The 26,816-nt window shown below is 49.4% G+C and overlaps 2 protein-coding genes across 13 annotated transcripts in view, besides 6 other annotated features; one reads left to right on the forward strand and one right to left on the reverse strand.

Annotated features, from left to right (window-relative positions):
- On the reverse strand, positions 120–23,603 carry ACTR1A (actin related protein 1A). 2 transcript variants are annotated; one of them, NM_005736.4, is made up of 11 exons: positions 23,491–23,603; positions 11,440–11,504; positions 9,954–10,029; positions 9,041–9,166; positions 6,500–6,624; positions 5,051–5,267; positions 3,902–3,994; positions 2,892–3,066; positions 2,728–2,789; positions 2,023–2,063; positions 120–1,856 (listed from the first exon to the last, which is right to left on the reverse strand). In NM_005736.4, exons 1-11 carry the CDS (start codon positions 23,536–23,538, stop codon positions 1,754–1,756), a joined length of 1,131 nt encoding a protein of 376 aa, NP_005727.1. In that variant the 5' UTR covers positions 23,539–23,603; the 3' UTR covers positions 120–1,753. The 2 variants fall into 2 exon arrangements, with proteins under 2 accessions (NP_005727.1, XP_047280383.1); XM_047424427.1 differs by lacking the exon at positions 11,440–11,504.
- Positions 21,587–22,087: an enhancer, noted in NCBI's record as "H3K4me1 hESC enhancer chr10:104260453-104260953 (GRCh37/hg19 assembly coordinates)". NCBI's record gives its function as "activates a minimal SCP1, AML or CMV promoter by ChIP-STARR-seq in primed H9 embryonic stem cells {active_cell/tissue: H9 hESC(primed)}" and the evidence as "EXISTENCE:reporter gene assay evidence [ECO:0000049][PMID:30033119]".
- Positions 23,482–23,581: an enhancer, noted in NCBI's record as "active region_3938". NCBI's record gives its function as "activates an Ori minimal core promoter by ATAC-STARR-seq in GM12878 lymphoblastoid cells {active_cell/tissue: GM12878}" and the evidence as "EXISTENCE:reporter gene assay evidence [ECO:0000049][PMID:35858748]".
- SUFU (SUFU negative regulator of hedgehog signaling) overlaps positions 23,710–26,816 on the forward strand; it is a 130,717-nt gene continuing 127,610 nt past the window's right edge. For 6 of the 11 annotated variants that reach the window (XM_011539858.4, XM_011539861.4, XM_011539860.4 and 3 more), the window contains exon 1: positions 24,863–25,225. In XM_011539858.4, coding sequence (XP_011538160.1) covers positions 25,044–25,225 — 182 coding nt within the window. In that variant the 5' untranslated portion in view covers positions 24,863–25,043. Of the gene's footprint in view, positions 23,878–24,862; positions 25,226–26,173; positions 26,311–26,816 lie in introns of those variants that run through there. The other 5 variants (XM_047425336.1, XM_047425337.1, XM_047425338.1 and 2 more) reach the window with 3 other exon arrangements.
- Positions 23,932–24,001: a silencer, noted in NCBI's record as "silent region_2763". NCBI's record gives its function as "represses an Ori minimal core promoter by ATAC-STARR-seq in GM12878 lymphoblastoid cells {active_cell/tissue: GM12878}" and the evidence as "EXISTENCE:reporter gene assay evidence [ECO:0000049][PMID:35858748]".
- Positions 24,679–25,148: a silencer, noted in NCBI's record as "silent region_2764". NCBI's record gives its function as "represses an Ori minimal core promoter by ATAC-STARR-seq in GM12878 lymphoblastoid cells {active_cell/tissue: GM12878}" and the evidence as "EXISTENCE:reporter gene assay evidence [ECO:0000049][PMID:35858748]".
- Positions 25,463–25,757: a silencer, noted in NCBI's record as "tiled region #236; HepG2 Repressive DNase unmatched - State 2:TssF". NCBI's record gives its function as "represses a minimal TATA promoter and a strong SV40 promoter by Sharpr-MPRA in HepG2 cells {active_cell/tissue: HepG2}" and the evidence as "EXISTENCE:reporter gene assay evidence [ECO:0000049][PMID:27701403]".
- Positions 26,050–26,550: an enhancer, noted in NCBI's record as "H3K4me1 hESC enhancer chr10:104264916-104265416 (GRCh37/hg19 assembly coordinates)". NCBI's record gives its function as "activates a minimal SCP1, AML or CMV promoter by ChIP-STARR-seq in naive H9 embryonic stem cells {active_cell/tissue: H9 hESC(naive)}" and the evidence as "EXISTENCE:reporter gene assay evidence [ECO:0000049][PMID:30033119]".

Here is a 26,816-nt window from a genome sequence, read left to right on the forward strand (position 1 = left end):
TGGCTGGTGCAATGATGCCCTCTAGAGGATGGATCAGGCCCAGTCACCACCTCAGATTCAGTGCCTGCTGCTCTTCCTCTTTCCACTTGGCCCTGGTGACAGACAGATAGAGGCCCAGCTGACGTGTCTATCGGAACGACTTTATTTCAGTACACTGGGCCCCACCAGGCAATGTGGTTTGTGCGAGGCTGTGCGAGGGACAGGCTTGGGCTAAGAGAAGGGAGGTGAGTTGGTTAAGCGCACTGCAGTCCGCGGGGCGCTACGTTGCTTTCACACATACCTGCTGCTGTGGCCCACACCTGGCAGGGGCCTTTGGTCATAGGACGGCGTGGGGGAGAATACTGTGTGAAGTCTGGGATTGGGGTGGGTCTTGGTGTCACAGGTGAGGGTGCCGGTGAAGACAGGCTGGCCCCAGCTTTGCACCATCTAGGCTGAAGGCCTTTGGACCACTCCTAGGAGTCAGGCCTGGCTCCATTAGCTCCTGGCACTCTGGTCTGGCCCACTCCCTCCTTAACCAAGCAGGTCCAAGGTCAAGAATGGCACAAGATCAGCCCAGAGGGGGCCTTCCCACCTCTACAACCTAGTCCCCTGGTCAGCTACAGTGGCAAAAGGCAACTTGGTAAATTGCAGCTTTCTCCAGTCTTAAGGGCACTGGCTCTCCAACACCCCTCCCTTGCTTAGGGGCCTCTGCCAAAGAAAAATTTTACCTCCTGTTTCAGAAAATCTAACCAGCAACCAGCCTGTTGATTCCAGGGCAGTGAGCAAGAGGAAAAGGGAGAAAGAGCCTGGTGGGAGTGTCTTTGAGTGTAGCTTCCAATCTCAAATGGTCCTGGAACCTGTGGACACTGTCAGCTCACCATCAGCTGGGAGAGGTGGGGCCCTGGAGGCTAAGCTTAGGTGCTGTAAACATTAGTGTAGCAAGGCAGGAGGCAGCAAGCTCCCTCTCTCCAGCCCCTAACTGAACAAACACTTCAATAAATAAAACGGTTTGAAGATGGCATTGCAACAAGAACAGATGGAAAGCGAGGTCCTGGAACCAGCAGGTGCCTTAAACTCTCCCAAGGCCCCCGAAAGGGGACTGGGCTGGGAACATTAACTCTGCAGCCATTCAGAGTGAGGACTGCTCCTGCCCTCCTCCAGTGGCCGGTGTGGTCCTGTTCCCTGGTGAACATGAGGGCCTCCTGCTCTCTCCTGACTCCAGTCTCTGTAATAGCTCTTGGGGTGCTTTTCCAGCCTCCCAAACCAAAATGGCAACAAAACCAGACAGAACTCAACCCCAGTCCCAGTCCTCAGTGTGCAGTCAGGAGGCATCGATAGTGGAGGCAGCAGCTGCCTGGGGCCTCAGGGCACCCTGGGGGTGGGGGTGAGGGTGGGGCCAGCCCAGCCTAGGATGGTCAGCAGCAAGGTCTCCCGGGGGATGGCTTACCTCCCTCTGTCTCCCTGTGGTAGTAAACGGAGTCCCCCACAGCCAGCCAGAGGCCACCTGAGGAGGGAGCACAGCCTCTGCCAGCGCTCTTCCCTGTCAGGAGCCAGTTAGTGGTCAACCCCAGGCCTCAGGCCATCACCACTGCAGGTAGTTCATCGTCCTTTCTGGGCCCAGGGTCCCAGGGCCACACGGCACTCGCATGTGCACACACACTCATATCCACACACGCACTCACACACAGGCAGTTCCTCGCAAACACTCCGACTCAAGAAAGCGAGTTTTAAAGTGGAGTTAACTTCAGAGAGAGGTGAAGATGATGTCCCGACATTAGAAGGTTTTTCTGTGGATGGATCGGGCACCGTCTTCCTCATATTCCTTTTTGGAGACCCACATCTTCTTAAAGGTGTCCAGGGAGGCAAGGATGGAGCCCCTGGAGGGAGGAAACCCAGAGGAACTGTGTGAGAGAGAAGTGGCTGTGTGTGGAGCCTACCAGTCCCCTGGGGCCAAACCAAATCAGGCTTTTCTTTAGAGGGTGCTGAGGGGTTATCAGTGCCATCACTTCCTGTTCTGTTCTTACTCCTGGAAGAGCTACTCACCCAATCCACGTGGAATACAGTCTCTCCTGAGGTGCAGATATCTGCAAAGGTGGGGGAAAGAGGAATCTGAGACTTCCAGCCCTCCCGCTCCCTTTCCCTACAATGCTCCTCTTTCTGCCCATGGCAGGGGATACATTTTACACAAGCCTGAAGCTCTGGCCTCTCTGGAGGGCACTGTGGCCAGCCTGCCACTCATCTGGGGAAGCAGGTTTCCAGTCCCCACAGGTCCCAGGGAAGCTGGGACTATTGGGGGGGGCAGGGAGAAGCAGACTCCATGGCAAGAACTGTACTCCTTCCTTTAGGATCCCCGCTCTCCTCAGACAGCCAACCTCCTTCACCTATCACTAAGGTGTCAGACTGTGTGACAGGGGAGCCACCTGGGCAGGGGGCACAGCAACAGTAAGTCAGTCTCCTCTTAAGATTATAGTTTCCCTGAAAGATCACGCAGGGGGCCCTCTACCTAGTACCCTGCCTCATCTGGGTATTAGAACTGCCTGCCTTTGGTGTGAAGAGGGAGAATGAGAACTCAGCCTCCCTGTGGCTGACCTAGACCTCAGGGTCAGTGTACAGGCTGGGAACCTGGCGCTGCTTGTAGAGCCATGGCTGCTTGAAGAGCTTGGGCAAAGCTAGAGGGAAGCTACGCCAGGTGGCACTCTGTCCATGGAAGCCTAGTTCCACCCAGGCCAGGCCCCACCATGCTCCTACCCTGATCTTCACATCTTTTGGAGCTAGTTTCTTCACTTCACTCAGGAGCCTGTCACCAAAACCTGAATGGGCAAAGAGGAGAACTTCAAGTCAATTCTCAGGGTGCCTGGAGCCAGCAGGAGCTGAACACTTCCAGGGGAAGGGCTCCAAGAGAAGAGACAAACCTTTGAACAGGGTAGAGCCTCCTGAGAGGACAATGTTAGAGAAAAGCGTGCGCCGCAGGTCCATGTCTGACTTCTGAATGGCGAACACCAGGACCTCGTGGATGCCTTCACTCTCCTCTCCAATCAAATCTGGCCTGAAGAGCAACTCAGGGGCCCGGAATCGGGAAGGACCAATCTGCAGGTAGGAGGGCCAGCTGAAGAGGTCGGAGCTGGGACCAAGGTCCCTTTGGGAGTGGGAATGGAAGACGCCCCTCTGCACGTCACTTAGTAACTGGGTGGCTATGAAGGCCAGGCTCAAGACAGACTCTACATGTCAAGGGCTTAAAGGAACAAAGATAGGCCTCCTGGAAACTAGTGAGGGGAGGCTCCTATATTTCCTTCTCGCTCTGGCATTTTCCAGCCAAGAGGTCTTTGGCATCAGTACATGGATTTATTTGCTCATGGAAACGTCTTCCTAGCAATGGGGGTTCAAGGGAGTGGTAACTCACCCTACACTGCACCCAGGTGTGGTGAAGGATGGCACTAACCATCCCACTTCCTAATCTCATACTGATGTGGGACAATCCCTTAGGAGCTTCCTCCCCTCTAGCGGGAGGGAGCAAAGTTCTGGCTGCCTCCTCTGCAGGAGACAGGGCCACTCATGCTCAGGAGCTCTGCTGCTCCAGAGAGAGGGTGTAAGGCTGGGGTGTCCAGTCTTTTGGCTTCCCTGGGCCACATTGGAAGAAGAATTGTCTTGGGCCACACATAATATACACTAACACTAATGACAGCTGCTGAGCTAAAAAAAAAAATTGCAAAAGAATCTCATAATGTTTTAAGAAAGTTTACGACTTTGTGTTGGGCCTTACTGAAAGCCATCCTGGGCCACGTGCAGCCCATGGGCCAGGGGTTGGACAAGCTTGGTGTAAAGGGACTGGCCTGCCAGACTCCAGACCCTGATGGAGAATTCTGGTTGGGCCCAGAGCTTTTGTGGACCTAAGGGGACCGAAGAAAGAAGGCAGGCCACCTACCTCAATGGTGCTGCCATCAGGCAGGTAGTACTGAGCTTTCTCTGTCTCTAGCGTCTCATCCTTTTGGGGGTTTATGGATAGGTAACAGGCTCTCTGCAGATCCAAGCAAGACAGTCAGGCTGGCAGGAAATCTGGTGCACATCCAGTCAAAGGCCCAGGGGAGGAATGTGCTGCTGCACAAACCTGTCTAAACGTTGTGATGGCCCCAATGGTCACTATAGCTGCTGCCCAGAAGCAGGGGCAGTGAGGTCTCTGTTGGCCTTCACTGGGTGGCATTTAGCATATGAGTTCTTAACCGCTCCACCTTCCTGATGGGCAAGCTTGGAAACTTGGCCCCTGGATCCTAGGTCTGAGACCACAACCTAAGTTCAGCCCAGGCCCAGGCATCTTTCTCCTTCTACCACTCATATGGTTCTGGTCCTACCCAGCTCGAGTTTTCCCTATAGCCACAGGTGGCAGGAGGTTTCAGTTTACTTACAAAGACAAATGTTTTAAATGTATTATGACTTCTTCAAGGATGTTAAAAAAATAAAAATAAAAAAACCAGGAGTGGGCGCGGTAGCTCATGCTGCAATTCTAGCACTTTGGGAGGCTGAGGCGGGCAGATCACTTGTGGTCAGGAGTTTGAGACCAGCCTGATCAACATGGTGAAACCATGTCTCTGCTAAAAATACAAAAATTAGTGGGGTGTGGTGGCAGGCACCTATAATCCCAGCTACTTGGGAGGCTGAGGCAGGATTCAAGCGATTGCTTGAACCCGGGAGGCAGAGGTTACAGTGAGCCGAGATCACACCATTGCACTGCAGCCTGGGCGACAGAGCGAGACTCCATCTCAGAAACAAAACAAAATGAAACAAAACCAAACCCTATGTAATTTGCATATAAGGTATAAAAAACATACTGAGCCCCTATGTAGCCATCACCCAACTGAAGAAATGGAAGCAGCTCCCTTTCCCCCAACAAGATGGCAGCACGTCAGGAAGGCGAATCTGTCAGTGTGACGTAGGGGAGACCTGGCTGGGAAGAACAAGGCCTCACCAGGGACCCCCAGGCAGGTGCTTTGCCTGGCTTCACTGGCAGGTCACCAAGGTCCTGGGTGCTATGCTCCCAACCCCCACTCCATCCCTAGGCCCAGGGGGCAGCACTTACTTCTTTTATGGCCTTGACAATCTCAAACTCAGAGGATGAGTGGAAGTCGTAGCCCTCCTTACGCAGGTAGAGGCGCAGGAAGCGAGAGACGTCCCGGCCCGCGATGTCGATGCGCATGATGGAGTGGGGCATGGCAAAGCCCTCATAGATGGGCACAGCATGGGTGACTCCATCCCCAGAATCCAGCACCACCCCTGTGGTCCTGCCTGTAGCGTAACTGAAGCAAAGGGGCAAACCGTCACTCAGCACTGCCTCCTCACGCTGGGAAGAAATACACTTCTTTATTTAGGGTTCAATGTCAGCTAAACTAAAGCTTGGGCCTGCCTCTCTCCAGGGTCTGTAGAATGGACTGGGTACTAAGGAAGCCCAGGTGTTGGAGCAAGCCATGAAATACCTGAACGGAAGTTGCTGATCTTCTCCAAGTTCCCTCCCCGTACCCAGAAGAGCAGGCCTTCCTGTCTGAGATGGCCTGGCCTTCAGCTGCTTCAGAGACCCAGCCTAGGGGCCAGTTTTAACTCTCTAGACAAAAGGCAAAAACCCTCAAATGTCAACAGGGGCCAGGCAGGAAAAGTAAGAGTAAAGAAAAATAAGAATATTTTTCACTTCCATAAAAAACAAAGGCAGGAGAAGACCCTGCTTTACTGGTTTGAGAGCCCGGGGACCTTTGTCAGCCTCCCTCCAAAAAAAGGCAAGTGAGGCAACTGACCCCCTGCTTCAGTGCGGAGAGGCCAACAGAGCATGGACAGGCTGTGGGGAGGGTGGGCTTGCCAGCCCCATCTCAAGTGGCAGCCGCTCTTCAGCTCCAGCTGATTTTTGCCCTGTGGGAATGTGTGCCCGACCTTCCCAGATCTTCCCATTTTTTCAGAGAAGCCAAAAATTTGGGTTTTGATGGGACACCTCTTGATTTTTAAATGCTGGCTCACAGTTTGTTAATGGGGTCAAATAAATCCCACGTGTAGGTCACTTGTGGATAATCTCTGCCGTAGACCTCACTCTGGTGTGAGGTGGGGTAGGAGTGTGACAGGAGCCACGGGGGATGGGAACAAGGACTGTGGTGGCATTCGGATCATGGTTGTCTCACAGCCTGGCAGAGCAGCTGGCCACAGTAAGTGCTGAATAATAAGTGGACACATTACGGGGGCCTCCGGGAAGAGCTGCTGCAGCATGTGGCTGCCTCGGCAGGCCCAGCCAAGGCCTTGGGGACCAAACCCACTAGGAGTCCTGACACTGGGATATGGTCAATAGCAGCCACATGTCCTTCTTTGCTTTCAACTACGAAGCCTCAGTGCTCAGTTTCAGCAAAAGCCTCTCTCTCTTTCCCACCATCTTTAACCTTTCCCTAGCAGAGGGGGCTCAAGTTACTCTGAACCATTCCAGAGGAGAGCCAGCCTCAGCTGTGCCAAAGGACTGCTTTCCCCGCAGGGGCCGGGCTAGCCAGCTGCTACTCACAGGCTGAGTACAGCTTGCATGGAGATGAAAAGAGCGGGCACATTGAAGGTCTCGAAGAAAACTTCGGCAGCTCGTTCCCGGTTTTTTCGTGGGTTTAAAGGCGCCTCAGTCAGGAGCACAGGATGCTGGTGAAAGGAGCCCGGGAGACAATGAGGCCAAGGCCAGATTTCCATCTTCATTAGTCTTAGGGGAGAAGACCCTGCCTTGCTGGTTTGAGAGCCCGGGGACTTCAGTCAGCCTCACTCCAAAAAAAGGCAAGCTGTGCCTGTCAACTATCCCTGCCCAAGTAGTTTTCTCAACTTTTCAAGTTAATGCCCACTTTAAAATTTCATTCTGTCCTCAGCTGTGCCCCCCAACTCCCCTCCTTGTCCTCCAAGATTGTTATACAGGCCCCTGTGTCTACTGTGTATCTCCAACTGTCAAGAAGATTTTGTGAAACTCTAAATTCCTGCCGCAGACCAGTTCTAGTCTGTGACCTGTTAGGAACCAGGCTGCACAGCAGGAGGTGAATGGCAGGTAAGCGAGCATTATTGTCTGAGCTCCACCTCCCATCAGATCATCCAAGGCACTAGATTCTCATAGGAGTGTGAACCCTACTGTGAACTGCGCATGTGAGGGATCTAGGTTGGGCACTCCTTATGAGAATTGAATGCCTGATGATCAGAGGTGGAACAGCTTCATCCTGAAACTATCTGGCCACCCCAAACCCCCACCCCCATGGAAAAACTGTCTTCCAAGAAACTAGTCCCTGGTGCCAGAAAGGTTGGGGACCACTGCTTTAAAAAAACTGTCTGAAAACAGCCGGGCGTGGTGGCTCACACCTGTAATCCCAGCACCTTGGGAGGCTGAGGCGTGCGGATCATCTGAGGTCGGGAGTTCGAGACCAGCCTGACCAACATGGAGAAACCCCGTCTCTACTAAAAATACAAAATTAGCCGGGCTTGGTGGTGGTGCATGCCTGTAATCCCAGCTACTCAGGAAGGCTCAGGCAGGAGAATCGCTTGAACCTGGGAGGCAGAGGTTGCGGTGAGCCGAGATTGCGCCATTGCACTCTAGCCTAGGCCACAAGAGCGAAACTCCATCTCAAAAAAGCAAACAAAAAAAACCCAAAACTGAAAACATCCCACCTGCACCTGGAAATTGATACACCTAGTCTGCACCTCTCTGCATTTTCTTTCTTTCTTTTTTTTTTTTTGAGACAAGGTCTCACTCTGTCACCAGGCTGCGAGTTCAGTGGTGCGATCTTGGCTTACTGCAACCTCGATGCCCCCAGGCTCAAGCAGTCCTCCCACCTCATCATTTCAAGTAGCTGGGACTACAGGCACGCACCACTGTACCCGGCTATTTTTTTTTTTTTCATATTTTTAGTAGAGGTGGTGTTTCGCCATGCTGCCCAACTTGGTCTCAAACTCCTGAGCTCAAGAGATCCACCCAAAGTGCTGGGATTACAGGCATGACCCACAGTGACCAGCCTCCCTTTACATTTTTGAATGGAGAGTTACTTCCTTACAAGTTAATAAGCACAGGCTGCACAAGGTGGCTCACGCCTGTAATCCCAGCACTTTGAGAGGTGGAGGCGGATAGATTGCCTGAACCCAGGAGTTCGAGACCAGCCTGGGCAACATGGCAAAACCTTGTCTCTACAAAAAATACAAAATTTGCCAGGTGCCATGGCTCATGCTGTAATCCCAGCTACTTGGGAAGCTGAGGCAGGAGAATCATTTGAATCCGGGAGGCAGAGGTTGCAGTGAGCCTAGATCACGCCATTGCACTCCAGCCTGGCCAACAAGAGCAAAACCCCACCACACACACACACACAAAATTAGCCGGGCATGGTGGGGGGTGGGGCTGAGATGGGAGGATTACTTGAGCCCAGGAGGTCGAGGCTGCAGTGAGCTATTGCACTCCAGTCTGGGTGAAAGAAGTTAATGAGCACAGGCTTTGAATTCTAAAAGACATAGGTTTGAATTCCATCTCTACCCTTTGTTCACTTGGTGACCTTGGAAATACCACTTGGCTTTTCTTTTTTTTTTTTTTTTTTGGGACGGAGTCTCACTCTGTCACCCAGGCTGGAGCACAGTGGCGCAATCTCGGCTCACTGCAAGCTCCGCCTCCCGGGTTCACGCCATTCTCCTGCCTCAGCCTCCGGAGTAGCTGGGACTACAGGCGCCCGCCACCACGCCCGGAGAATTTTTTGTATTTTTAGTGGAGACAGGGTTTCACCGTGTTAGCCAGGATGGTCTCGATCTCCTGACCTCGTGATCCACCCGCCTCGGCCTCCCAAAGTGCTGGGATTACAGGTGTGAGCCACCGCGCCCGGCCACGACTTGGCTTTTCTGAACTTGTTCCCTTGTTTGTAAAATGAGATAATACTACCTATATCTCATAGGAATGGTGTTAAGATTAAATCTGAATATGCCTGAAAATCAAATGGCTCCAGCACTCTTGGCAGTGATCATCGTCCTCCTCATCATCTCTAGGGTAGGAGTTTGACACAGCTTTGCATACCCTACAGGAGTGCCCTACACACAGGATCCTCACCTCCTCTGAGAAAGTCTGCAGCTGGTCCTTAGAATAGACATATTGCCAAATGCGTTCCATGTCGTTCCAATCCTTGACGATGCCATGCTCCATGGGATAGCGGATTGAAAGCAGCCCTCGGTGCTCCTGGGAAAAGAGAACAGGACTTACGACTGCAGTCAGGCTCCACCCAGGACCCTGTTCTCCCAAGACTAAGCAGTGCAAGCTGAATCCCTTGCAAAGAAGCCTCAGCTTCCTGAGCTTCCACCCTGCTGTCCTTGCCCAGGGCTAAGGGTGGGCACTCATTCTCCAAGGCTAAATACTGTTTGCTGCAAACTGCCCTCATTCCCGAGGAGCCGGCAAAGCAGGGGCTTCTGCATTTCCATGGCCCCTCAGGTGCCTCTAGGGCAAGTGGCAGGAGGCATCTTCCTCATTGCCTGGTTCCAGGACACAATCTCCTGGCTCCCACCTCTGGGCCTCAGCACTTGAAGCCAAGGATGGCAACAGCGATTCTGCTATCTGCTTACAAGAGGCTGCATGAGGGCTCTGACAAAGCTGTGTGAATTAACTCATCCCTAGGGTACCCCAGCCAGGATCTCCCCACTGAATATTTTTTGTGAAAAAAATAATAAACACAGTAAATTTGATCACTGACAAGGCAGTGACAGGATGCAGAAGACAACAGCCCTGTTTCCTAGACTGGTCTCAGTGTGTCCCAAAGTGAGGTCCCAGGTATTTTCTTCTCCAAGACCACAGGCTGTTCCTGGGAAAAATAAACCACCTAAGCCTAGGATGAGAGAATCAAAAAGGAGATTTTCAGAGAAAGTTGCCCCTTTTACTTATGGGTATGTCCAAATGTTGGGACATGTTCCATGTGGTGAATAATGAAGGTCCTCTGCTGGCTTAAGGCTTGTTCTGTAGGCCTGGGAATTACCTCAGCTTTGGGGCCAATGAAGATGTCGCCTTCAAGGGCTCCTGCCATGACACGAACGTGCTTGGGTCGGCCCACACTAGAAAAGACAGTGAGGAGGACCATCATTTTTCATTTCATGACAGAACACAGGAAGGATGTATAGATGTACATACACACTCAAATTCTACTGAGATTATCTTCAAGGAGTGAAGTCACAGTTGATTTTGATTTTCTTCTTTATACTTTTCTGTATTTTCCACAATTTCTAAAATGAACATGTATTATTTATATATTATTTCATATTTTATATTTATTATAAATTATGAAAACAAATTTTTAGAGTATTTAATACCTCTAGTTCTTCTCTTTCTGCAGTGTATGAACAGACCAAGAAAGATGAGGAAATGAGAATTTCTAAAGGAGTGATTAACTCAAAACATTTTAGTGTCCTTAGTCCCCTTCCCAGGACCTCTAAGTAAAACTGATGCTGGGCTGGGCTCGATGGCTCACACCTATAATCCCAGCACTTTGGGAGGCTGAGGCAGGTGGATCATTTGAGGTCAAGAGTTTGAGACCAGCCTGGCCAACATGGTGAAACCCCATCTCTACTAAAAATACAAACATTAGCTGGGCGTGATGGCACATGCCTATAATCCCAGCTACTTGGGAGGCTGAGGCACGAGAATCGCTTGAACCTGCAAGGCAGGAGTTGCAGTGAGCCGAGATTGCGCCACTGCACTCCAGCCTGGGCTACAGAATGAGACTCCATCTCAGAAAACAAAAAAAACTGTGATGCTATAGATCGGACAGATAGCCTCTTCCTTTCCTCCCCCTTTAAGCCCTTCCTGTAAGCCTCTGTGCTCTTCTCCTGCCTGCAGTCTCTCTGTCTTAGGAGGAAAGTTCTGAGAAACTCCTCATTAAGATGGTAGAAGGGCTGTAATCCCAGCACTTTGGGAGGCCGAGGCAGGCAGACCATGAGGTCAGGAGATCAAGACCATCCTGGCTAATACGGTGAAATCCCATCTCTACTAAAAATACAAAAAAATTAGCCAGGCACGGTGGCAGGCGCCTGTAGTCCCAGCTACTCGGGAGGCTGAGGCAGAATGGTGTGAACCCGGGATGCAGAGCTTGCAGTAAGCCAAGATCACACCACTGCACTCCAGCCTGGGCAACACAGCGAGACTCCGTCTCAAAAAAAAAAAAAAAAAAAAAAAGATGGTAGATGGGTTAAATGTTAATCCCCAGCCTGGGTGATAGGAGAATTTTAAAAGGAGGGCTCCACCAAGAGGCAATCCTCCAAAGCAATAAGTTACCAATGATAAAATTTTTTAGCATCAGATAAAATTGGATTTTTAAAAAGAGGCCTCTTATCTGTGCCTCTCAAATTGTACCATGTAGACAACTGTTTTCCTTTGTTGACTCCAAACTCGGCTCCTGTCCCTTATAGGGCTGGGCCTGTAACAAAGCTGATGAGCCTCCAAAACGTCTAAGCTACAGAATGACTTACTAGTTTGGAAAGCAGTATTTGGGGATCTGATCACCAGCAAAACCAGCTTTAATCACACCGGATCCCTGAGGAAAGAGGAGAGAGAATGAGGAGTCAGAACTATCACAAATACAAAAGGAAAAATACATTATATGGTACCATTTTTATTTAAGAAAAGAAAGCGGCCGGGCGCAGTGGCTCACACTTGTAATCCCAACACTTTGGGAGGCAGAGGCAGGCGGATCACTTGAGGTCAGGAGTTTGAGACCAGCCTAGCCACCATGGTGAAAGCCTGTCTCTAGTAAAAATGCAACAATTAGCTGGGCATGTTGGCAGGCACCTGTAGTTCCAGCTACTTGGGAGGCTGAGGTGGGAGAATCACTTGAATCTGGGAGGCAGAGGTTGCAGTGAGCCAAGATTGTGCCACTGCACTCCAGCCTGGGTGACAGACTCTGTCTCACAGGAAAAAAAAAACAAAACTAATATTTGTATATAATATATACATTTATTTGAACCTAGAAAAAGGTAAATGCACACCAAAAGAAGGGAAGTGGAAATAGGATGGTGAGGAGGATTCTCACTGTATACACAACCGTATGTGTGATTTTTCTGTAGTCTCTGACTTTTCTACATTGAACATGTTTTGCTTTGGGAATTAAAAATACTAGTAATAAAGGGAAGAAAAAGACAGAAAACCTGGGGAAAGAAGAAAGTACCTAGAAGCATCAAAGCAGCCAAGTTCAGGAACATAAGGTAGGAAAAGCACATGACTCCTTGTTACGCCACCCTGGGGTGCTTTTAACCTACTTTCCCAGCTCAGGCCTGAACTCTCCCAGCTTCCAGGGCCTCTGTGACAGACACCGCCATGAGCACTGTCATGCTTGAAATGGACTCCCATGGAACACGTGCTGTCTGGTTCTTATTGCAAGGGCAGAGCACGATGCTTTGGGAGATTTTTGTTGTTGTTTTCTTTTTAACTATGCTTTCCTTTTACTCCTTGGTCTCCTGATGGTAAAGAGAAGCAAAGACTAAAGCCTACTCTGAGAATAGAAGAGAACCACAGTCCTGCTGCTCCAACACTTGGTATGTCGAGTGAGGTGTCCAGAAAAGAATCTGAGTTCTCCCAGCATCTCAGGTACCACCCAGGGCCCAATCAATGTAAACAGTGACTCTGGACACAGAGACCAACCCTGTGCAGGACAGATGTCAAGGCTTAGTATTGCTTGTAGATACACCCTGTCCTCTTCCTTTTTTTTGAGATGGAGTCTCGCTCTGTCGCCCAGGCTGGAGTGCAGTGGTGCAATCTGGGCTCACTGCAAGCTCTGCCTCCCAGGTTCATGCCATTCTCCTGCCTCAGCCTCCTGAGTAGCTGGGACTACAGGTGCCCACCAGCATGCCTGGCTAATTTTTTTTTTTTTTTTTTAGTAGAGACAGGGTTTCACCGTGTTAGCCAGGATGATCTCGATCTCCTGACCTCGTGATCCGCCCGCCTTGGCCTCCCAAAGTGCTGGGATTATAGGCGTGAGCCCACCGTGCCCGGCCTTTTTTTTTTTTTTTTTTTGAGACAGAATCTCGGTCTGTCACCCAGGCTGGAGTGTGGTGGCACAATCTCAGCTCACTGCAACCTCCACCTCCTGGGTTCAAGCGATTCTCCTGCCTCAGCCTCCTGAATAGCTGGGATTACAGGCGCGCACCACCATGCCTGGCTAATTTTTGTATTTTTAGTGGAGATGAGGGTTCACCGTGTTGGTCAGGCTGGTCTCGAACTCCTGACCTTGTGATCCACCTGCCTCGGCCTCCCAAAGTGCTGGGATTACAGGCATGAACCACCGCGCCTGGCCTCTTCTTCCTTCTTAACTCTTCTACCACCACACCTGATACCCTCACCTTTCTAACCCAACATGGTTTGCAGCTGCACCCGTAGCTGGGGCAAGCCTTTTCCTGCTGCCTGTTGACCACTCTCCTGGGGTGGAGTGTGGTATTTACTGACCTCATTCTACAAGCACTGAACACACCTGGAGACTCTAAGTAGCCAAGGTTATCTGCACCAAAGGCTTCCCAGCAACATGCCTGCTTCCCTCCTTGACTCTCTTATTCCTGCTCTTCTGCAGGAAGAGGGGGAGTGAGACTGGCCATCTGGTGCTTGCCTTTGGCAAGACAGAGGTTGGTGGAGGAAGCAAGTGGTTGAAGGAAGCCAGGTGTGGTGGCTCACGCCTGTAATCCCAGCACTGTGGGAGGCCGAAGCGGGGCAGATCACATGAGGCCAGGGAGTTCAAGGCCAGCCTGGCCAACATGGCAAAACACTGTCTTTACTACAAATACAAAAATTAGCCAGGTGTGCTACACGTCTGTAATCCCAGCTACTCAGGGAGGCTGAGGCAGGAGAATCACTTGAACCCAGGAGGTGGAGGTTGCAGTGAGCCAAGATCGCACCACTGCACTCTAGCCAGGGAGACAGAGTGAGACTCCACCTCAAAAAAAAAAAAAAAAAAAAAAAGAAGTGGTTGAAGGGCAGAGAAAGTGGTATGAGAGGAGAGCAGGGCAGCCAGTTCTCTAAGGGAGCAGGAATCTTTGCCAACAGAAGAGAGTGAAAACAGAAGACAATGTGCAAACTCATTGGACTGGGCAGTACAACAAGGAGCCTGGAAAAGGTGCAGCTGTCAAGTGAGCTGAAAGACTGGGAAGGAGGGGCAATTTGCCTACAAACCCAAGGGCTCTGAGAGCAAGGCACGGACAGGCAAGGGGGGAACTCCTAGAACTTGTTTGCTCAGGCTTCCAATGATTGCTCACTGCCTTCATCTGGGTGTGGTGATGCCAACAGACTAATTGGGTCTCCCGGCAGAGGTTAAAAACAAGAGAGGATGAGATCTGTCCTTCAGACCCTGGATATTTTTAAGAGATGATTTTCCTGGGTATTTTATTTTTAGTTTACTAGCAAAAGGACTAGAGTCTGGGTAAACAGGCAGATTATGAAGTCAGATTTGTTTTTTCTTCTCTGTCCTTCCTAGCAAAGAGTATAAAAAGCCCAGTTCAAATATCATCACCTTCCTCCTGAAGAAACATCCCCAGTTGGAATGAATGATCATCTTCCTATTATCTCACAGCAAATTTCCATTACCTGTACCACGAGGTGGCATGCACTTCATTCTGCTTTTTATTACAATGTAAGGTTTCCACTTTCGTCTCTTTTCAGTTGAAGTTCCTTAAGGCTAAAATACATTTTGGCAGTATCTGGCATTTGCTGGGTACTCAACAGATGCTGGCTGAGTAAAATTAAAATCAAGTGCAAATGACTGGCAGATAGAACCTAAAGTATGGAACCTGAATGACCAGCTGAAATGACAGAAGCCCCAGGCAGAGGCGGTTCAGCAAAGGGGAAAGCAGCACTGGGAGTGATGCACAAGGTGGAACCAGACCCAGCGTGTCCTTGCAGCCCCCAAGCAGGCCTGCCATGCCAGTCATAGGGTGAAGAATCAGTGGAGAATGAGGAGCAGCTGAGCTGCCTCAATTCTGCTCAAGCCACACAAATTCTGCTCAAGAGCATACAAAAGGGTTATGTCCATTTCTTTAACAGTATTTACAACTAGGAACTGTGTACCTGGCAAATAAGCTGCCACTGTCTTTGTTATTCACTCTGGCAAGGCCAAATGAAAAAATGCCTGGTAGAGGCTTCTTGAGTAGTCTTGGCTGGGTGTGGTAACTCATGCCTATAATCCAAGCACTTAGGAAGGCCGAGGCACGCAAATCACTTTGAGGCCAGGAGTTTGAGACCAGCCTGGCCAAAATGGAGAAACCCCATCACTACAAAAAATACCAAAAAGTTAGCCAGGCATGGTGATGTGTGCCTGTACTCCTAGCTACTTGGGAGGCTGAGCTAGGAAGACTGCCTGAGCCCGGGAGGTCGAGACCAGCCTGCACATGGCGAAACCCCGTCTCTACAAAAATACAAAAATTAGCTGGGCATGGTGGTTGTGTGCCTGTGGTCCCAGCTACTCAGGAGGCTGAGGTTGGAGGATCACTTGAGTCTGGGAGGTCAAGGCTGCAGCAAGCTGTAATTGCACTGCTGCACTCCAGGCTGGATGACAGAGTAAGATAAGACCCTGTCTCAAAACCAACCAACCAACCAACCAAACAAACAAAAAGTATGGCTGGGTGCGGTGGCCCACGCCTGTCACCCCATCACTTTGGAAGGCAGATGAGGGAGGATTGCTTGAGGCCAAGAGTTCGAGAGACCAGCCTGGGCAACATGGCAAAACGCTGTCTCTACAAAATATTAATTTTAATTTTAATTTTAATTTTTTTGAGATGGAGTCTGGCTCTGTCACCCACCTAGAGTGCGGTGGCACAATCTCGGCTCACTGTAACCTCCGCCTCCTGGATTTAAGCGATAGTCCTGTCTCAGACTCCTGAGTAGTTGTTGTTACAGGTGTGCGCCACCACGCCCGGCTAATTTTTGTATTTTTAGTGTAGAGGGGGTTTCACCATGTTGGCCAGGCTGGTCTCGAACTCCTGATCTCAAGTGATCCACCCGCCTTGGCCTCCCAAAGTGCTAGGATTACAGGCATGTGCCACCACACCAGGCCTACAAAATATTTAAAAATTACTCGGGTGTGGTGGTGCGGGTCCATAGTCCTTGCTACTTGGGAGGCTGAGCCCAAGAGGTCAGGGCTGCAGTGAGCTGTGATCTTGCCACTGCACTCCAGACTGGGCGATAGAGTGAGCCTCTGCCTCAAAAAATATATACAAAAAATTCAAAATAAGGCCAGGCGCAGTAGCTCACACCTGTAATCCCAGCATTTTGCGAGGCCAAGGCGGGCAGATCACGAGGTCAGGAGATTGAGACCATCCTGGCTAACACGGTGAAACCCCGTCTTCACTAAAAGTACAAAAAATTAGCCGGGTGAAGTGGTGGGCGCCTGTAGTCCCAGCTACTCTGGAGGCTGAGGCAGGAGAATGGCGTGAACCCAGGAGGCGGAGCTTGTAGTGAGCAGACATTGCGCGACTGCACTCCAGCCTGGACGACAGTGCGAGACTCCATCTAAAAAAAAAAAAATTAGCCGGGTGTGGTGGCACGTGCCTATAGTCCCAGTACTCGGGAGGCTGAGGCAGGAGAATCTCTTGAACCCACAAGGGGGAGGTTGCAGTGAGCCGAGATTGCGCCACTGCAATTTAGCCTGGGCGACAGAGACAGCCTCCGTCTCAAAATAAATAAATAAATAAATACACAATTTTTTTTTTTTTTTTTTTTTTTGATACGGACTCTTGCTCTGTCGCCCAGGCTGGAGTGCAGTGGCGTGATCTCGGCTCACTGCAAGCTCCGCCTCCCGGGTCCAAAGCCATTCTCCTGCCTCAGCCTCCCGAGTAGCTGGGACCACAGGCGCCTGCCACCACACCTGGCTAATTTTTTTGTATTTTTATTTTATTTTGTTTTTGTTTGAGACGCAGTCTCGCTCTGTTGCCCAGGCTGGAGTCCAGTGGCGAGATCTCGGCTCACTGCAAGTTCCGCCTCCCGGGTTCATGCCATTCTCCTGCCTCAGCCTCCTGCATAGCTGGGACTACAGGTGCCCGCCACCACGCCTGGCTAATTTTTTGTATTTTTAATAAAGACGGGGTTTCACCATGTTAGCCAGGATGGTCTCGATCTCCTGACCTCGATAAATACACAAATTTTTAAAAATCAGAATATCTGGCAACACTAGGCCGGTATTCCTGCATGGGGACAATTGGATAGAAAGGAGAATCAGTTAACATTTTGGTCAGGCATGCTCAATTCAATGCACCTTTCAGATTTCCCAGCCTGGAAGAGGTGCCTTTCAGGCTATTCTCTCTCTTCTCTTTTGAGTATATTTCCATTCCTGCTTGGCCTCTGCAGGCATTGAATTTGAAATCCCTATTCTAGGCATTTGCAGCCACTAATTGGTGACGTTTCTTCTTCCACATGGTATCTGATTTCTTTTTTACCCTCAGAGGACTTAGCTCAGTGTGAAGCACATCCTTGGCTTGCAAAATATACATAATTGAACAGTGAAAATATCTTTATAAGTCACCTCTTCTTCACCTTTTCTGTCAAGCTAGGGATGGATTCTTGCTGAAGCTGTACAACCAACAGCCTGAATATCACACTGCAAGTGACAGTGTTAGATAAATACATTGACTTCATTTCCTCAGCTAATTCTAGTGTCCCTAAAAACTTAAGTGAATCAGCATTAGTAGGATCAGAAAAGCTGATAACAAATTGTAAAAGAAAAATTTTTTTAGACAATTAGTGAAATCTGAACATTGACTAGATAACTGATAAGATTAAGGGGTTCTTGTTGATTTGATTAGGCATGATAATAGTATATTGATTATGTTTTTAAATGAGTGTGGGGCTGGGCGTGGTGGCTCACGCCTATAATCCTAGCACATTGGGAGGCTGAGGCGGGTGGATCCTTTGAGGCCAGAAGTTCGAGACCAGCCTGGCCAACATGGCAAAACCCCGTCTCTACTAAAAATACAAAAATTAGCTGGGCATGGTGGTGCATGCCTGTAGTCCCAACTACTCGGGAGGCTGAAGCAGGAGAATCGCTTGAGCCACGGAGGTGGAGGTTGCAGTGAGCATCACTGCACTCCAGCCTGGGCCACACAGCAGACTCCATCTCAGGAAAAAAAAAAAAAAAAAAAAAAGAATGTGGGAGAGGGAAATGGGCAGGAATGTAGTTGAAAAGATTGGCCAAGAGTTTGATAACTGTTACAGCTAGGTGAACGTATGGATGTTCCTTACACTATTCCTTCTCCTTTGTATGTTTGAAATTGCTATAATAAAAAGAGATAACAGTAGGATGATAGCACTTAAGTAAACTTTCAAAACACAAACAGCACACTCCCCTGCCAAACTTAAAATGCATATGCACATAAAATCATGGATGGATCTAGGCATGGTGGCTTGCTCCTCCTATACTCCCAGCTACTTGGGAGGCTGAGGCAGGAGGTTTGCTCGAGCTCAGGAGTTTGAGGCTGCAGTGAGCTACGACTGCAGCACTGCACTCTAATCTGGGTGATAGAGTGAGACCTCATCTCTAAAAAAAATTTAAAAACAAATAATAATTAAAAATTAAAAAAAATCATAGGTGGAAAGGAGCACAATTTTTTTTTTTAAAGAGATGGGGGTCTTGCTGTATTGCCCAGGCTGGCCTTGAACAACACAATTCTCCTGACTTATCTTCCAGAGTATAAAAGGAGGACAATTTTATGATGATGGTTGTTTTGCGGATTATTTGTAAAACAGAGAGAAAGGATAGGGTTGCCAGGCACAGTGGCTCATGCCTGTAATACCAGCACTTTGGGAAGCTGAGGTGGGAGGACTGCTTCAGCCCAGGAGTTCTAGATCAGCCTGGGGAACACAGGGAGACCCCATTTCTACAAAAAAAAAAAAAAAGGCTGAGCAGGTGGTACACGGCTGTAGTCCCAGCTACTTGGGAGGCTGAGGTGGGAGGATTGCTTAAGCTTGGCAAGCTGAGGCTGCAGTGAGCTTTGATTGTGCCAATGAGCCCCAACCTGGGCAACAGAGTGAGACCTTGTCTCAAAAAAAAAAAAAAGATAGGGTTGTGGAGGGGTACAAAGAGTCTTCAATTATATCTGTAATGTTTTATTTCCTTAAAACATGAAGGTGGATGGGAACACTAAAGCAAAAAAAATACTGAAGCAAATATGGCAACATCAATATTTACTAAATCTGGGTAGTAGACACATGCTACCTGGGTGCTTGTTATATACCACACCGAATTTTTCTGTGTGTTTAAAGTATCTCTCTCTCTCTTTTTTTTTTTTTAAAGGGGGCTGAAGCAGCACAACATCCAAAGCAAAACAAACAAATGCTTAGCTTATTGTTGAACTTCTGAAGAGCCTGCATTTAGGTCCATATAGTCACAAAGACAGTTTTAAGTTTGACAGGAATGTTGATCCATTTTAGGTTCAGGCAAAACTGTAAACTTAGAGTTTTTTTGTTTTTGTTTTTAAATAGGCTGGAGTGAGGTGCACGATCTCACTGCAGCCTCAAACTCCTGGGCTCAAGTGATTCTCCCATCTCAGCCTCCTACAGGTGCATGCCACCAAGCAAGCCTGGCTAATTTTTTTTTTTTTTTAAAGTAGAGATGAAGTCTCACTATGTTGCCCAGGCTGGTCTCCAATTCCTGGGCTCAAACGATCTTCCAGCCTTGGCTTTCCAAAATGCTGGAATTACAGGAGTAAGCCACCACATTTGGCCTGGATCTTAGGAAAAATTTGAGTTTCAGAATAAACATAGTATTCTGATCAAAGTGTAGTCCTCAAAATGTGGCCTAGGAGCTGCTCCTATCTTACACTATTCTCTATGTCTTTGGGAAGAAATGACTTATATTTGGTTTTAAAAAATATCTATCATCATAAAGCTTCTTGGGTGATTAAAAAAATACCTATCACTTTATTGTTGTCATTAAAGCACACACCTACCTGCCCCTCCATTTTCCTCATTAAATTCTGATGAAATGACTTGATGCCAGAGTAAGATGAAAGACGTGGTCACAATTGTCTTATGATTGGGAAAGGCTGTGAACTTAATGGGGCTCTTTCCCTGCTTTCTTTCTCCTGCATTCTTTTGATTATACTCTTCTGCCCATAAATAAAGTGTAGCAACATGTTAAGCTATGGAGTTAACATAGCTAGTGATACATTATTCTCATTATATGTAATAAGTTGTCTCAGGTATTTCAAATAATGTTTCCTATACATCTACCATCTTGAAAATAATAAAAACAAAATGACCCCCCAAATGTTAAACAACAAGGACTACCTGAGACCGCACATGTAAAAATGTGGCAGATTTTCAGCAAATACTAATAGGAAAATGACTTAAGTTTCTCCTACTTCACCTTTTGGCAGAAATACTGGCATAATAAAGGACATGTTTTCCCAGAGGGGGAAAAAAAAGACAAGTCAATTCTTTAAATCTTGAAACTAAAAATGCATCACTGCTGTAATGCATTTCGAAACATACTACCAGGAAAGAGAAAGAAAAAAATTAAGACGCATTAGTGTAAGTGATATTAAAGAAAATGGCCGGAGATGGAACTCCTGCCTAGCAATTCAAGAAGCAAAGGAGCTGGTGGGATAGACAGGTTGTTCCTTCTGCATTGCTGATGAAAACAGGAAATTGAATTTCTATATATTTTTCCTTTTTACAACTAAGAAAAAGGCAGAAGAAGCACAAAGAGCCTGGCTAAAGACAGAAATCGTAGTGCTCTCTGAAAATCAACATCAAGAACAAAAAGTCCTACTCAATTATCTGCAGTAACTAACTAGAGAAAACTCCCCATCTTTTCTTTATTTAGGAATATCTTTGTTACTTTGATAGAGATATTCAGTCATTCATCCAATCACCCATCAATCCAATGAAAAAACATTTATTGAGCACACAGAGGTGCCAGACCCTAGGTATACTGTGTGTGTGTGGAGAGAAGTGGGTGAAGTGAGACTAAAGGAATATCATCTTTCTTAAATTTTTTTTCCCAACACCACTAAACCTGTGGGAGAATATCATCTTTTTCCACAAGGATTTAATAGTCTAGTGAGGGAGACAAAAAGATCCTCTCAAAAATGAAGTATCTGGGCTGGGTGTGGTGGCTCATGCTTGTAATCCCAGCACTTTGGGAGGCCAAGGCGGGTGGATCATTTGAGGTCAGGAGTTCAGGACAAGTCTGGCCAATATGGTGAAACCCCATCTCTACTAAAAATACAAAAATTAGGCCGGGCGCGGTGGCTGACGCCTGTAATACCAGCACTTTGGGAGGCCGAGGTGGGCGGATCACGAGGTCAGGAGATCGAGACCATCCTGGCTAACACGGTGAAACCCCATCTCTACTAAAAATACAAAAAATTAGCCGGGCGAGGTGACGGGCGCCTGTAGTCCCAGCTACTCGGGAGGCTGAGGCAGGAGAATGGCGTGAACCCGGGAGGCGGAGCTTGCAGTGAGCCGAGATCGCGCCACTGCACTCCAGCCTGGGCGACAGTGAGACTCCGTCTCAAAAACAAACAAACAAACAAACAAACAAACAAACAAACAAAAATTAGCCAGGCGTGGTGGTGCACATCTGTAATCCCAGCTACTTGGGAGTCTAGGCTGGAGAATCTCTTGAACCTGGAGGCGGAGGCTGCAGTGAGCTGAGATCGCACAATTGCACTCCAGCCTGGGTGACAAAGCGAGATCCTGTTCCCTCCACCCCCCCACACCAAAAAAAGAGGCGTCTCTGCCAGGCACGGTGGCTCAGGCCTATAATCCCAGCACTTTGGGAGGCCAAGGTAGGAGAATCGCAACAGCCCAGGAGTTTGAGACCAGCCTGGACAACATGGTGAAACCCTTCCTACAAAAAATACAAAAATTAGCCAGGGGTGGTGGCGCGTGCCTGCAGCCCCAGCTACTCGGGAGGCTTAAGCGGGAGGATCACTTGAGCCCAGGAGGTTGAGGCTGCAGTGAGCTGTGATCGCGCCACTGCATTTCAGACTCAGCAACAGAGCGAGACCCTGTCTCCAAAAAAAAAAAAGAAAAAAAAAATGAGCTGTCTCATTGAGCTCAATCCTGCCCCTTTCTAAGGGGGAATAATAAAAACAAAATACCCATGGAGAGAAGGAAAATTTAATGAAAACAACAACAAAAATATATTGGAAAAAGCAAGCAACTTGGAACTGGATCTTAGTCTGATGACTGGCTCCTCAATTCCTAAACTGGATGGTTTGAAATCTGTTATTTAACATCCCTGCATACACTGGGGATAGTAATTCCTATCTACCTAACAGAGCTGAAGCTTAAACGAGAACATTGTAATATGCCTAAGGTCCCAAGAGCTGAATCAACAAAGGGAATCTGACAGAGTCAGCTTACAACAGAGGGAACTGGTAGTTTTGCCTCAATGGAGGGACCTACAAGGGACACAGACAGGGATCAATCTCTGTGGGACCAAAGCTTTGAATCGAAGGCAGAAATGCAGTCGTTTTACAATTTTCTCCTTTCCCCCCAAAATAAGAGCAGTATTTAGATTCTTTCTATTGGTCAATATTGATGCTTCTGCATGGTGGTGCTGGCAAAAGGGATGACGGATAAAGTACTGGATTTAGGGCACCTCTGCTATGTGACCTTGGGCTCACGTTACGTCTTCGCGCTTCAGTTTTCTCATCGGTAACACGAAGATCAAAGTTCCTTTTAAACTATGCGTCCAGTTTTTGTGAGGATCCAACTCGAATGTATGTGAAAACGCCCTGGAAGCGCTAGAGCGCCAGGCAAATATTAAGTTTGGTAATTTTTTCCCCGTAAGAACTAGGCGTTCCAAAGAGGAGGACAACCTCTCTGCTTCCTTTGTCACTCTCCTTTCTTCTCGACCTTTACCAACTTTGTAATTTATAATCACAGTAATAGCTGACATCCTACAGCGGTTTCTGGCACCAGATTCTCGGGCCCCACCCAGATCCACACCACCAAGCCGCAGCGCCGGCTGAGACCGAAGGAAAACTTAGCCGTTCTCCACCCGCGGGCGGGCACTCGCCTCTAGGCCCCACCACCCAGAGTCCCGGAAGCCAATCCCCACAGCCCTGGAGCACTGCCCCGCCCCTTCAAGAGGGAAAACAATATGGCGGCAAGGAAGAATGGCAGGGGCGTGAGCCAATCACCGCAGAGGCCTAGCCTCATCCGGCAAGGCTAAGAGGCGGTATCATTGGCTAAGATGGACAGCCAGAGCAACCAATAGAGCGATCGGAAATGGGGGAGAGGGCGGGCGACGGGAATCTCACACAGCGGTTAAGGCCCCTAGAGCCAAGGGCCCAAGGACTGGCTTGGACTATAACTCTTTCCTTTATCCACTCCAGAGTTCTCCATCCCACTTTTGCTGGCTGGCCGCCTTGCCTGCGGACTATGTGATAAGGGGAGGAAGGAGGCGGCGGTGGCTGAACGCGCCTGACAGGCCGGGCCAGTGACAAAGAGCCGGCGGCTCAGGCTGAACCCCGGGAAGCGATCCTTTCGAGGAGGAGAGCCCAAGTCCCCTTATAGATAGGAAAGACGCAACTCACGTTGTCGATCACGACAGGCTGGTTGGCGATCACATCGTAGGACTCCATGGCAGAGGAATCTCTCCTTCTGGGGAAGGAACTGCCCAGCCGGGTCCGCCGCTAGCGCCACTGACACGCATGCGCAGTCTAGCCGCCGGTTCAGGGCGGCGAGGGAGCGGCCCGACCTCGCCTCTGAAGAACTACAATCCCCAGCAAGCTTTGCGCCTGGGTTAGCGATCTAGCTTGCTTTGTTGCCCGCCTAGTTTAAGATTGGGAGTCGCATTTCCAATGCGCAGTACCCTGGGATTTGTGGTCTCCCTAGATTAAACAGCCAGAGACACAGGTTGATGGTCATGTTGCATGCCTGGATCTGTAGTCCCTTTGAAGGAGTTCGCAGTGCATGCTGAGGTATGTAGTCTTCTCGAGTACTTGTCTGTAGTTCGGTTTGGATTGGTCGTAATTCATGGATGTTTGGATTTTGCAGATCAGCCCTGCCACTCCCCCCGACGTTCCCTTAGACAATATAAGGTTCTCATGTTTTTATTTGGGTCTGTAAGACTTTAATAAACATCTCCTAGCACCTCACACTCTAACAAAAAGGAAATGTTAACACACGTACGCGAGAGGACATATTCCTACAACAAAGGAAAACAATTTAAATTGCATAAAATTAGCTTTAAGTTTAAAAACCTGTACATTGTCGTTGCCTTTTGCATTTTCTTTTTTTCTGCATAACAGGCTAACATTGATCCGAAGATTGGCAATTGGAACTACTGGTATAGGTAATCTTTTGGTCATTAAAACATCATCTAAGGGTTTCAGAAACTGCTCGAGTATCTCTTTAATTTTCATAACGAGCTAGAATTGACACTGATGGTTGAGAAAATGGAGGTGAAGAGAGGTTATGTGTCACTGCTTTCAAATGAGCCCAGTGCATTTTTTTCTCTGGATTATGTTCTCCCCCAGCCCCCTTGAAATTTCAGGGACCTTTTTGTCAATAGCCCTAGAAAACATTAGATTTATTATCATCTATTAATACTAACGCCCCATGGATGAATGAATCAATCCATTGTCAGATTTATGTTTAAATCCTAGTTAGCAGCGCGTCAGCAAAACAGTAACAAATCCTTTGTTGGCGCACTTCTCGCTGCTTTCGTGGGACCTTAGCACCTCAGAGGGTGCTCAGCATCTCTAAACTTGGGTTCCTCCTAACACTAGGGGGAGACCAAGAGCCTTGGGACACTCCCAACACAGGGAGGGGAGGCGGGGCCTATTGTCAAGTCACACCTTCCCTGCCTGTGACTGGCACAGACATTAGCCAATGGGTGCTTGGATAGGGTGCGCCGGCGCCCCGCCCCCCTTAGCGCCCCGCCGCCCCGAGGCACCCTCTGGCAGACTCGGCGGCGGCGACAGCCTGGGCGGACAGTGCGCCGTGCGCAGGCGCGGAGCTAGACCTCGCTGCAGCCCCCATCGCCTCGGGGAGTCTCACCCACCGAGTCCGCCCGCTGGCCCGTCAGTGCTCTCCCCGTCGTTTGCCCTCTCCAGTTCCCCCAGTGCCTGCCCTACGCACCCCGATGGCGGAGCTGCGGCCTAGCGGCGCCCCCGGCCCCACCGCGCCCCCGGCCCCTGGCCCGACTGCCCCCCCGGCCTTCGCTTCGCTCTTTCCCCCGGGACTGCACGCCATCTACGGAGAGTGCCGCCGCCTTTACCCTGACCAGCCGAACCCGCTCCAGGTTACCGCTATCGTCAAGTACTGGTATGCTCTGGGCCGCGGGGAGACGGACAGGCGCGGGCTGGAAAGGGTTAAAGCGCCGAGGGCGAAGTAATTTGTGGGAGGTGGGAGGAGGGGTAGAGAATGGTTAAAGCACTCAGAAGGAGGGCTTCTTGCTGCGAGGGAAGGAGTTAAGGCTCAAGTTGGGAATGGGGACAAAGGGGTTAACGGAGCCCGTGGGTACTGAGGGGTTAACCGGGATTAGGAGAATAGAGTGAGGACTGGGGGTGTGTGTAGGAGCAGAGGGGGGAACGGCAGGAGCGAGGGAACTGTAAACGTGGTGAAAAGAGGGGGCGCCTGTAGGGGGTCATTAGTGGGCGAGGGGAAGCCAAGCGGGGGCGGCCGAAGTGGGATGGGAGAGGCGAGGCGGGGCCTGGGGAGCATTTGAGAGGGCTTTGGAGGAGCGAAGCCGAAGAAGCTCAGAGGGCACGAGACTGCATAGAATGGGGGGTTCGGGGGGCCCAGGGCTCTCCTGTGGTGGGTAGGAGGGCCAAAGATGAGGGCCTGGTGCTTGTGGAGAGAGGAGGAGGTCTCCTTTTGATACCTTCCCGATTAGCTCAGACGTCGTATCAGGGCAAAGCTTTTGCTTTTGAAGTTTGACGGAGCAGCTCTTCCTGATAAACTTTTTGCTTACTCTGCACTGTTCTCTTTCTCCGTGCAGAGCTTCCTCCTAGCTCTGCAGTTGCTTCGCTTTAGGGCATTAGGTAGAGAGAACCATGGTTTGGCTTAGGATTGAAGGGGCCGACAGCTTCCCACCTCCAGTTGGAAATAAATGGTGGAGACTCTGGGACCCCAGCAGGGAGGAATTGTGCAGTGGGACATTAAGAGGAGCTTCTCGGCCATGGCCTGCAGTTTCTCCGGGGAGCTGAGAGTAACCCTCAAGTAGCTTTAGGGTAGGAATGGTCTTTTCTAATTTCCCATTCCTGTTTGCAGCCTGTTTCTTCCTTCAGCATTTGGGCAGAACAGATGTTCTGGGGACTCTGGAAAAGAACCTGTCCTCAAAGTCTTGCTGGACCAAAAACTGAGATATTGGTTGAAACTGTCCAGGACCACATTCATGCAGGCATTGTGTAAGATGATCTTCAATGAGTCTTGAAAGACTGTTCTGCAGCTGCTTGGGGGTGTAGCCAAAGGGTAGACCTGAAGGGGCAAGTGGACATCTTTGCTGGTTACCTCTCCTTTTAGGACTGAGTCTTCCTCCTGGTGAAAACCTGTTGCTTCCCCTGGACATCGGTGTCAGTAGGCTGTGCAGGGCTGAGGCCAGCTGCCCGCATCAATGGGAGGATGCCAAGAGGCCAACAGCGTGGAGAGCCTGGGGACCAGCCACCTGCTGTCTAGGGAGGATTGTAGGGAACAGCCTCCTCTGTCAGAGTAGACGGGAGGAGGTGGAACTGGTGTCGCAGTCCTCTCTCACTGGCGAACTGTTCTCTGGTTGAGAGGAGTTGTTGAAGAGCGCTTCTGAGTGGAAAGCAGCTCTTGCTAGCTTAATGACCCATTCTCATTGTGCCTTTATATTTAACTATGTGTTGTGATGAACTTGTTGTCATGTGTCAGGAGAAAAGTGGGCCTGGGCTGG

Source organism: Homo sapiens, chromosome 10, assembly GCF_000001405.40.
Source record: "Homo sapiens chromosome 10, GRCh38.p14 Primary Assembly".
Taxonomy (NCBI): Eukaryota; Metazoa; Chordata; class Mammalia; order Primates; family Hominidae; genus Homo; species Homo sapiens.

Excerpts from the sequence above, each read along its gene's own strand:
- ACTR1A (NM_005736.4), bottom strand. The coding sequence starts at position 23,538 with ATGGAGTCCTACGATGTGATCGCCAACCAGCCTGTCGTGATCGACAAC. Across the intron at positions 6,625-9,040 it reads TGCAGACTTTCTCAGAGGAG|CATCCTGTGCTCCTGACTGA; the intron begins GTGAGGATCCTG and ends TCCTTTCACCAG. Across the intron at positions 2,064-2,727 it reads CAAAAGATGTGAAGATCAGG|ATATCTGCACCTCAGGAGAG; the intron begins GTAGGAGCATGG and ends CCACCTTTGCAG.